Genomic DNA, 9,345 nt, shown 5'->3' on the forward strand with positions numbered 1-9,345 from the left:
TGGAGTGCGTCGCCATTTACCGTCATGCTTTTTACGCCCGACTCACTTCATTCATTTGTATTACCTGCTGGCTCCATAGCCTTTGAGTTTATGACTTCCTGGTATACATGGCTGTGGGCTGACCACTTTCCTAGAAACCATCCAGAAATACAGATTGGTAGGAGATTATATGCCTTAAACCTCAGCTAAGCATTGCACAGTGGTTTAGAGTACAGACTCTTGTCTGTCTTGATTTAACCACCTGCATTTGAATCCTGACTCTGACATTCACCAGCTATGGGACAGTGGAGTAATTTACTTAATCTCCCTGAGCCTCAGTTTCCCCATCCCAGAATCCCAGAAATGGGATTCATTACTGCGCCTGCCTCTAGAGTCCTTATGTGTCATCAGGGATTTAATGTAACTCAGGTTCTTTGAACAGTTTCATTATTAATAATCAGCCTTTCAGACTTTGAGGCTAATCAGGTAGGTGAATGGACCTCTGAGCACCAGAAAGAAAGTGTCCTTGCTGATGCTGATTTCCATGGTTTTATTTCTAGAAACAGAAAATGCCGTTTCAGTGGTACTGTTTATTGAGTATGTCTTTAGTTGTACTGTAGGTAAAGGGTATTTGAATATTTCAGCATGCAGATATTGAGTAGCTTTTTCTTTTTAACTTTTCCTTGTTTTATTTGCTTACTTACTTTTCCTTAAAAAGTGTCCTGGTAAGACACATTCTATTAGCTCCCACATTTAGATGCTTTCTGGGGAGTATGTACTAAATTTCCCACCACTGAATGTTTCATATACATTTCATGTTGGTAATCCTCTAGAAAAAGCACTAACTATTTATATTTTGTATTTCTCTTTAACTTGGTACTCAAGTAGGAGGCACTCAAATTAGGAGAGCCTTAATTAGATACAGTATCATATTTTTGGTTGGTTTTAGAAAATGCTGCTGGGAGATGTACATTTCACTGTGTTGAGATTTTTGCACCATTAAAGTCAGTTATTTAAATAGTAACTCAACCCACCTGTGAAAGAAATACCACCTGTGCTAACCTCCTTCCCATCACTTTGGTCAAATGTTAGGGCTCTGACAGTCATGTAGATTAACAGCATATTAAATAAGAACAGCCATTTATATTTAACTGATATATAAGAAGAATTAATTAGCTCTCATGAGACAGTTGTTTAAAAGTTCATGCATGATTCTGGGGCAGATGTATCTTGATATTTTCATAAAGAACTAAGATCATTTATGTGTGTGTTCGTTGCTTTTTAGTCAGTGATAGGACTTGTTTTTTAAAAAGGAGGGTGCTTCTAAAAATCTGACCCTTAAGAGCCAGATATTGTGTGATTCATAAGTGTAAAATCCTTCTGCAGTAACTGCTGTCTATTCAGAGGTAGTACTGGTCTGTTGCTACTGGCCCCCATCATTTTATTTGCACAAATAGAAAACTTTATATCAAGTAGTACCAGAAGGCTTTGTTTTGACTTGTTAAGCATGCTTTGTTTTCTGCTTATTTAGAAGCTTTTAAAAACTCATATTCTCAATTTATGTAATATTTAACCTAAGACTGTTCTTTGAGAAGGGATTCATCCTGTTTGCATTTGTACCCTTGAAAATTGCCCCTGGGATGAGATGTAGAGTTAGACGGTAAAGAGTAGAGTCTGTGGAGCTATTCCAACTCTAGAGACATGGCTTTCAGTTACTTGGATAAAGAAGAGAGAGAGATTCCTAGAGGCATTATTAACGTTGGAAGGGATGTTTAGCTCTGCCTGGCCCAACTTCCCACAATACAAGTAAGTCCCCTGTACCACCTCTGGCATGTGGTCATCCACCTCCATGTGGACACTGCAGTGTGAGCTCCCTGCTTCAGAGCAGTTCTTGACACCAAAGGACAGTTCTAAACACATCACCGTTTCCTACATTAAAAGGGATGCAGCCATCTGACCCCTAGCTATTTGTTCTACTTGGAACCTCAGAGAATAAATCTGCTCTCATTCTGAGAAATATCCTTTAAAATGTATCAACAAGCATATCTACCTCAGGACATTGTCCTTCAGGTAGGAACACTTCACTTTGCTCTCTGAGTGATGCCTAGACATTGGCCACATTCCAGTCTCCTAGTGTCCCATTTAAAACATGGCGCCCAGAACTCCAATGGGGTATTCTGATCATTAATTACAGGGTGGTTAGCTTCCTTATTCTGGACACCAGAATTCTGTTAGCATAACTCAAGGGTGTGTTTACTTTTTCCAGCAACCTTGACACAGAGTTAACTCATTGAATATGTGACTTCTTGAAATAACCCCCACTCCCCACCCCAGAACACACATACACTGCTCTGATTTCACATGAATACTGCCAAGGTTAGCTTTCAGATAAGCATAATTTTTTTGAACCTATGCCTACTGATTGTATTCTTATCCCTGTGTAGTTCCAGCCTTACTACTTTTCATCCCATCATCCTTGCATGATGCTGTACCTCTAAATTTTTATCTATGCAAAAATTATGTTTACTATGTTTATGTATCTAAGTTTTTTCATCCAAAGATTTGATATAAGCTATTGCTTAGAAACTTAGACAAAGGACAGGTCTCTGTGACATACCCCTGAAAATCACTTCAGGTTGACATGAATATATTAACCAGTAATCCTTAAGGTTGGCTACCCATCAGTGAACTCATATAGCCATGCTCTCATGTCACCCACATTTATCCTTTCTCAGCATTTTCAAGAAAGGCTAAAACCATGATACACCATGGCTAGCCTTTCCAATCTATCACCCTAGAAACCCTGCCGAAAAAGTGAAATGAGGTTAGCTTGCCATGGCTTTTTCTAAGAGACCTCCTGCTGGCACTTAATGATGTTATTTATCTTTTCTAAATAGCCCTGTGGCATCTGAATAATTTCTTCTAAATTTTTACCAAGGGTCAACATGAAGTGTAACAGTCTCAAATTTTCTTTCTCATATTGAAATTGGGACATTTGCTTATCTCTAGTGTTCTGATTCCATTTTTGTGCTCTGTGATTTCCTAAATGTTATTAGCAGAAGCAATCTACATGCTTTTCCAGGATTTAATTAGTTTGCAACTGGACACTTGAACTTACTTGAAGTGGCTTGATATGCTCTTTCTATCAACTCTCTTATCAGGAGCTTTTGTTCACCATTTATTATGCCTTGCTTTTCAAATCTGAGCATTGTTCTCATTCCTGAAGAATCTGGAAACAGAAAGTGAATAGGGTGTCATCACCTCCTCCCTCTCTATCAATTGCTCGAAGACAATTCTTTCAGAAGCAGTCCACAGGAAGACCAGCCCTGCTGTCTGTAAAAGGGTTTGGACATCAGGTCTAGCCTTGAAGATGGATGCAGCAAAGTGATGGAGGAGGCAGGAGATACCTGCCTGGTCAGTGCCTGGTCAGTCCAATTGGTGAACACAGCTCCGGGGCACAGAGGGGTGGCAGCCACGTGGCTCCTGCCTCCCTGACACTCTTCAGTCTCTGCTGTCTTCCCCTAGCTGGGAATGTGTTCTTCTTGCCCCTAAATTTAATAAGCCCTTGTGGTATCTCTGGGAATTGTGGTAAGACTCAGCTTGTCCTGAATTTTTAGTTCTCACATTGGAGAAAATCATTCATTCTTTTTAGAAATATTTCCTTCATTGTTTGCTTATTTCCAGGACTGTACTCTTGAATATAACTATAGGGTAAAAAATTCCAGGTACTTACCCCCACTAGCTCATCATGCAGTGGAAGAGATAGCTTTCCTATGGGATATTACTGAAGAGGTAGCTGGCCTGGGGAATTCAGGGAAGTAGGGGTCGTATGAGCCCCATTATCTGAGGATACAATGACATTACCTGGTACTTATAATCAATTCAGGACATTATAATAATATTTACCTGGGGAAATGAGCTTTTTTTCTTTTTCTTTTTTTTTTTTTTTTGAGACAGTTTCGCTCTTGTTGCCCAGCTGGAGTGCAGTGGCAACATCTGCCTCCCGGGTTCAAGCAATTCTCCTGCCTCAGCCTCCAGAGTTGCTGGGATTATGGGCGTGCACCACGATGCCTGGCTAATTTTGTATTTTTGGTAGAGACAGGGTTTTGCCATGTTGGTCAGGCTGGTCTCGAACTCCTGACCTCAGGTGATCTGCCTTTCTCAGCCTCCCAAAGTGCTGGGATTACAGGCGTGAGCCACCATGCCCGGCAAATGATCTGATATTTTATTACATTATAGCAGCTTTCCAAGAATTTGGTAAACTACAAACCTGTGGACTAATTGTAGTTAATTCCTATACACACTGAAAAGTAATTTGCAGCATTTTTCTCATTTTGAGTAGGGCTGAAACTCTGCTGAAGGCCTACATATAATCAGCCCATTCTCCAGAAGGGCAGGGCTCTTATTTCAAAATATTGCCTTGTTCCAAGGCTTCCTCTGTCTCGGAAGTTCTTTATTTGAAGTGCGTTAGGTATTTACTGTGTCGAAGGCTTTCCCACACTGATTATCATCTCAAGGCTTCATCAAACCAATGGATCTTTACACTGGCATTCATACTGTCTTTCTAAAATAAGTTTTCGTAACAAACATTTTAAACCAAATCTATGTCATTATGTAGTTATTATTTTTTGTTGCTTTGTTTTAGGGTTTTAAAAATTTGTATTTTTTTTTCCCCAAGCCAATCAGATGGCTGACCTGCATGGACTCCTTATCAGAATGATTTGAAATTATTCTGCTGGGATCTTTGGTTGTTCAGAACCCACTGAGTTGTAATCTGCGTCAGTCTTAGATGACAGAGCCATACCTAGCTTCTCTGAGTTAGTTACAATCTACTCTGTAAAGCGTTCTAAGGTAGCACTTGTTGTTTTCAGGTTTTCCTCCCGTCACTCGTGCACATTCGGAGATGACATGGTCTACTTAAGCTTCTGTGTCTCCTTGGTCAGCACCATCATTAGCCCAAGGTCCTAAAAGTGAAATAATGAAGACTTTCCCAATTCTGTGCCTTATTGCTGACACTCAGAGTCCCCTCAACCTGCTCCTAATTGTCCCTACAAGACACCCGTTCACCTGCCTCCTCACCCCCTGTCTTCCTGAGGCCCTTGCACTGCTGGCCTGGCCTGGCAAGCTGCAGGGTGGACTGCGTGCCCTGCCTCCAGTCTCTTCCTGTCCTGGCTTCTTTCTGAGGCACCTAACTTGTCATTTCATATTGTAACTTTAGAACTCTTCACAGCGGCCCCGTTGCCTACCCGATGATGACCAGACTTCTTAGCGTAGGAGAATTGTTATCTTCCACAGTCTGAACCTTCGGATCTTCCCAACTTTTTTTTTCCAACGCACCCCTCCCAGCTCTCCTTATATTTCAGACATTCCAAAGAATTCTGTGTATTTTGAAGCGAGCACATGCGCTTCCACCCCTCTGTTGATTTGTTTATGGGTTTATGCTTTTCCCTCTCTGCAACACCCCGACCCCACACTGACTCTAGAGCAGAATGGGGCAGTGACTCCGAGAAGGGATTTATACATGGACAGGCACAGGCTGTGAATCCCAAAGGGTGCTGTCTACACCTGGAGGGAGATCTAGAGGGTATGGAGGGTCTTCCCAGGATCTGTGAAACCTGGCAGCTGCTTCCCTGCCACCACAAAAAGGGACACCAACCTAGCAGTTTCAAAAATCCTCAACTGAAGAGGCTTTTCTAGAGGCTTGTAGAAGTGCCCAAGACGCCAGGTGGTGGTTTATTTTCATTTCCCACTAAAGATCATGAATTCAGTGATCTCTCGAAAAGGAATAGAGCTCTTGGAAGCAGAGCTGACTAGTTAGATGGTGTTCAGACCCAAATTGGCTGATGCTTGGAATACCTTCTTTGTGCAGGCTACTGTAAGAAAGCACTTTATCCTATTTAATTTTTATAACTTTCTGAGGTAAGTATTTCCCCCATTTTACAAATGAGGGGCTAAACTCAGATAGACTAGCACTACCTTCCCAAGATCACACGCACCTCTAGCCAGTGGCTGCCTGTCTCCCACCTTCTGGAACAGTGAATGGAACATGTAAGAGGGAACAGGGTAACAGGAATTTCTGTGTGTGACGGAAGTAGGAAAATCCCAGAAAGGTTAGGAAATCCACTTCCCCCACCATTTTTAGAGAACTATGTTATTTTTCCGAATGAGGTTCCAAACATAACCCCGTGTAATCTTCCTAACAAGGCAGGTTGGTGAGGAGACTGAGGCTTGGCCAGGTCACCCAGCCTAGGAAGAAGGAGCCGGGCGGGGACGAGAACCCAGGTCTTCTGACTCTAGTGTTCTTTCTACTCTACCGCAGGTGTAACGTGGAGAAGGTGCCCAGTAATTCTCAGTTGGAAATAGAAGGAAACAGGTCAGGATCTGTCTTGTATTCCCCTATCTCTAAATACAGGTATCCCTCGTTACGTGAAACAGATTGAATCATATAATCGGCCTTTGGAAGCAAATTTCTTCGGTCACCTCCTGATCACCCCTACTTGGAGAGCGGGATAGAGGCACAGATACTCTTAAACAGCTGTCATGGCTTCTGAAGTTGTTGGTGCTGTATTTTAATCTGGCTGTGCCAATTCTATACATGCACTCCTTACAAGGGTATTGGGAGCTCCTGGAAAGCCCGCCCTAACTGCAGCATCTTGGAGATGGGTTTCTGTTGCTTCCCCCTCCCTTCCAGCGCAGCTTCTGTTGTGTGTTCCTTGGGCCTCTTTAACTCTGTGCTGTCTTGGTTTAGAAGCTTAATGCGAAGCACCTGTAGTGACTTGATCTCCTGCGAGACATGAAGAAGCGTGCATGTTCACGCTGTGTCTGCATTCCAGAGTTGATCATGGCATGCAGAGGGCAATTGCTGAGTTGTCTCTTGTTTGTGTGATGGGTTGGGTTTCAGGGTGTGACTCCTGGGCCTACCTGTTGTGTGTAGTCCCAAGCATCTAAAGCCAGTCTCTTTCAACCTCTGTGTGCCTTTGCTTCTGTTGGGTAGAAAGCAGAAATGCTTTTCTCCTAGAGATAGTGTGAATATTAGATGACATTGGTTGAGCTGGAGAGATGGATGTGCATGATACGCCAAGGCTAGGAGCTCTTATTAATATAAGAGAGATAACATTTCTTTCTCCATTTCGGTCAACCTGTACTTAAAAAAAAAGTTGATACAGTGCTTTACCATCCATATTTCAATTTTTTCAGCTGACCCAATAACATCCTTTACAACATTTTTTCCACCAGCATAGGATCCAATCTAGGACTGGAGAGAGAGAATTGAGGATGTATCGTGTATTTCAGAATGAACACAGATCACTGGTTGTGGTATTCTTCTTTATATAAGGAGATTAAAAACTAGTGGTGATTTATACTTATACTTATCCATTTTTGTGTGGAGATGAAACTGTCGGGCAAGATTGTCAATTTTTGATATTTCTTATTGCAGTCCAGTAAACAATGACTAATCCTGGAAACCAGGCACATAAACTATAATGTCCATTGAGAAACGTCAGGAATTTTGTTCTGTATTTGCCATTATGAGAAAGAACTCAGTCTGGATTCTGACTTGGAGATTGAAACAACGAATAGTTGACTTCATAAGTTTGGGCAGTTTAAATAATCAACCAACTTGGGTAAATATTTCCACCCCTAATACCTAGAAAGGAGGCCTTAGGGCTAAATGGCATGATGTAAGCTGAATGCCCTGCCCAGGAAACAGGGACAGGCAGGAGCTCCTTTCCCTCTTTGCCCTCTTCCATCAAGATGGTCATGTGACCACGAAAAGTAGATCAATAACTTTAAAGGCTATTTATTGCAAGTCCCCAGTGCCATGCCCAGGCTTTTTGAGGGGAGATGACATGACGGTATATGGTTAGGAACTAGATAAATTCATTTTCACTAAAGACACATTTAAACTGTAATTTCCAGAGACATAGCAGTGGGCTTGGTGTTTGCTTCCTCAGGGCTCTCTGGAGTCTGTCTTGTCCCTTGCTGTCTGTCACACACACTTCCTTTTCCCATAAGCCTGAGCTGACAACATGGTGTTTGGAGATTGTATTATGATGAATTAACCCTTTCTTCAGAAGAGCTTTTAAAAAATCTTTGCTTCAGTGGTCAAAAGAGGCTCTTTGTAAGTACTGAAAATGGAAAAAAAAAATGAATTAAATGGAGTTATTTAAAGCACAATTGGAAAGAGCTATGTCAACAAATAATGCAAGTACCTGGTATGAATGACACATATACACAGGGTGGGATGGGAAGGGATGGGGCAGGAGTGGAGAGCGCTTCTAACTGGCTGTGAGCAGAGTGGGAGTTTCTCAAACAGACGGGTGAAGGGAGGATGGGTGGGGGGGCAGAGCTTGTGGTGGTATGTGCGGGAAGGGGGGATGTAGCCATGGAGGCTTGGAAAGCAGTCCCCCTCTAGAGACTACACCATCTCAGTGTGACCAGCTCATTGGAGACGAAGGAAGACTGGGACAGCCTGGATGAGGCTGGAGAAGCCTGAGAACAGATCCCGGAGGGCCTTGAACACCAAGCTGAGGAGGAATTTTGATGTACTCTTCTAGGAGTGGGGTCTTGAGGGCAACCTGTAGTCATCGCAGTGACTGTTACGAGCACTGTTTCAAGGAGGCCAACGGAGAGCACACCTGAGTTCTGGGCGTGAGCGTGCAGGGACCAGTGTGTGATGTCTGTCATGTGGGAGAGGGGAGGTGACACCCAGGGAGCCGACATCAGCCCTGCAGTGGAAAGTAGATAGCCAAGAGAGGATCATGGGGATACAGTGAGATTTGTGTTCGGAAATGTCACTGATAGTCTGTGAAGGATGGATCGAAGGAGGCATACATTAGGAGAATGTTGTCTGGTAGTGGAGGAAGATAGTCCTTAAAATAAGGAAGTGGCAGTAGGTAGGAAGACAAGGGAATAAATATTCAGAGGTAGGATTGACAAGACTTAGGGGCAGTCTGGATGTGTGAGGAGGAGGAGGAAGAGAACTCACATAGCTCTTGGATCTCTGCCCTGAGTGATCAGTGAACAGCGGTGCCATTTACAGAAATGAAGGTGGCAGGAAAATTGGTGTGTGTGAAGGCACTTGTATGTATGTGTGTGTGCACATGTGCATGTATGTAGTTACCTGGCCCTGCATACACCATCACAGGACAGCTGAACTCTCTACTTGGCCATTAGCAGCCCTTGATGTTGTGATGATGTTGTTAGTATTGACTGCTCTTTCAGGACCAGCCAACAGGCTCTTGTAGGCAAAATTTATTTTTAGTACCAGACATCTTGTATTACTGTAAATGAGAGCGAGAGGCTGTAATGATAGCTCTCAAGCCCAAGCACCTCTGCATTTAGTGGCTCTAATTTCATTATAGA

At 42.8% G+C, this 9,345-nt stretch overlaps 1 protein-coding gene and 1 long non-coding RNA gene across 9 annotated transcripts in view; one reads left to right on the forward strand and one right to left on the reverse strand.

The window, feature by feature from the left end:
* Positions 1–9,345, forward strand: part of SMARCA2 (SWI/SNF related BAF chromatin remodeling complex subunit ATPase 2) — a 178,274-nt gene that overhangs the window by 148,774 nt on the left and 20,155 nt on the right. For 2 of the 7 annotated variants that reach the window (NM_003070.5, NM_001289396.2), the window contains exon 29: positions 6,299–6,352. The exons of the other annotated variants lie outside the window; for them this stretch is intronic. In NM_003070.5, the coding sequence (NP_003061.3) occupies positions 6,299–6,352 (54 nt within the window). The remainder of the gene's footprint in view (positions 1–6,298; positions 6,353–9,345) is intronic. 7 annotated transcript variants of the gene reach the window in all.
* Positions 7,765–9,345, reverse strand: part of LOC107987043 (uncharacterized) — a 70,735-nt gene continuing 69,154 nt past the window's right edge. For both annotated transcript variants that reach the window (XR_007061395.1, XR_001746600.2), the window contains one exon: positions 7,765–8,108. This is a non-coding gene — a long non-coding RNA (uncharacterized LOC107987043). The remainder of the gene's footprint in view (positions 8,109–9,345) is intronic.

Source organism: Homo sapiens, chromosome 9, assembly GCF_000001405.40.
Source record: "Homo sapiens chromosome 9, GRCh38.p14 Primary Assembly".
Lineage (NCBI taxonomy): Eukaryota > Metazoa > Chordata > Mammalia > Primates > Hominidae > Homo > Homo sapiens.